General features: G+C 37.5%; 1 annotated feature.

The window, feature by feature from the left end:
* Positions 253–1,039: an enhancer, noted in NCBI's record as "OCT4-NANOG-H3K27ac hESC enhancer chr1:99980474-99981260 (GRCh37/hg19 assembly coordinates)". NCBI's record gives its function as "activates a minimal SCP1, AML or CMV promoter by ChIP-STARR-seq in naive H9 embryonic stem cells {active_cell/tissue: H9 hESC(naive)}" and the evidence as "EXISTENCE:reporter gene assay evidence [ECO:0000049][PMID:30033119]".

Consider the following 2,038-nt stretch of genomic DNA (forward strand, 5'->3'; position numbering starts at 1 on the left):
GTATCCAGGCCATCACCAATCATTCTATATGACAAATGTTTCTTCTTACATCCCCACAATATCACCCCTTACCACAAGACCTCCCTTCAGCTTAATCTCTCCCACTCTAGGTTCCCACGCCTCCCCTAATCCCGCTTGAAGCAGCCCTGAGAAACATCGCCCATTCTCTCTCCATATCACCCCCCAAAAATTTTCGCCGCCCCAACACTTCAACACTATTTTGTTTTATTTTTCTTCTTAATATAAGAAGGCAGGAATGTCAGGCCTCTGAGCCCAAGCCAAGCCATCCTATCACCTGTGACTTGCACCTATACACCCAGATGGCCTGAAGTAACTGAAGAATCACAAAAGTGAATATGCCCTGCCCCACATTAACTGATGACATTCCACCACAAAAGAAATGTAAATGGCCGGTCCTTGCCTTAAGTGATGACATTACCTTGTGAAAGTCCTTTTCCTGGCTCATCCTGGCTCAAAAAGCACCCCCACTGAGCACCTTGCGGCCCCCACTCCTGCCCACCAGAGAACAAACCCCCTTTGACTGTAATTTTCCTTTACCTACCCAAATCCTATAAAACGGCCCCACTCTTATCTCCCTTCCTGACTCTCTTCAGACTCAGCCCACCTGCACCCAGGTGAAATAAACAGCCATGTTGCTCACACAAAGCCTGTTTGGTGGTCTCTTCACACGGACGCACATGAAAGCTATCAGAGGCTGGGAAGGGTTGGCAGGATAGGGATAGACTTGTTAAAGGATACAAAAATTACAGCTAGATAGGAGGAATAAGTTCTACTGTTCTGTAGCACTGTAAGATGACTATAGTTAATAATAATTTATTATATACTTTCAAATGCTAGAAAAGAGGATTTTGAATGTTCCCAACACAAATAAATCATAAAACTTTGAGATAATGTGTATAATAATTACCCTGAGTTGATCACTTTACATTGCATGTATCTAAACATAACTATGTACCCTAAAAATATTTAAAATTATCATGTGTCAATTTAAAAAATTGAAATGGGGAAAAAAATCATCTCATGCTCAAATGACCCCAATGACTGCCATTTGTTTCCATAAACACCTGAAATCTATCCTCAGTTGCCATTTATAATTGCAGGAGCGTAGAACGTTTAGCAACAATCAATCAAACTGCTCTCATGAGAGAATGCTGAAAATCTTTTACTGAGACTCTTAACTCCATTCATTCACCATTTTGTGGCATCATGTAGTGAGATTAGATATAGTAACTCCTCAGGGTCTGAAACAAAATTAGCAAAAATAGTGTTTTTCTCTCTTATCTTTTCTGAGAATTTCATGGCAGTTTTTTAAAAAATTAATTATAAGGACATATTTAGGATATTCTGGCCACATGCACTCTCAACTTACAAGTCCCTGGTCCATCATGGGACCATAAATATAAGGGATTAAAATATAATAATATTTAAAATAAGTAATTGTTTAATAAGGAAATATAGATATGTACCACCCTGCCCCCCCCCAAAAAAAAAAACAGAGTTCATTAGAGTGTGTGCCAATGATCCTAGTATGTTCTTGGCTGATAGAGAAGTCACTGACAGGCATTCACAAGTGTCCCAAAGTGATATCAAGTGTGGATCAGTTTTCATAATTCCCAATACCCAAAGCAGATATTAAGTCATTCTAATTTGTTTCTTTTTTTCCTTAGCAACATACTCCCTTGGTCACATTCCATTTTAGTTTGCTGGATCATAAGAACAAAATGCAGGAATAAAAATTTAACATAAATCTGTACCTAGATTTCTCAACAACCACCAAAACACAGCATATATTTTATTAAAAAGAAGATAAAGTTGTTGAACTATAAAGTTCGATTTGGGGAAGCAGAGTAGTGTTAATATAATTCTAATTGGATAGAGTCCTCTATTAAATATTTCCTTTAATTTCAGTAGGAAAAAAATCTTATCAATGCTTTTGATTATTATAAATTATTGGATCTTTTAACACTCTTAGTATTGAAATGGGTGTAAACAGCACACAATGTGAAACTGGAAAGAC

Source organism: Homo sapiens, chromosome 1 (assembly GCF_000001405.40).
Source record: "Homo sapiens chromosome 1, GRCh38.p14 Primary Assembly".
NCBI lineage: Eukaryota > Metazoa > Chordata > Mammalia > Primates > Hominidae > Homo > Homo sapiens.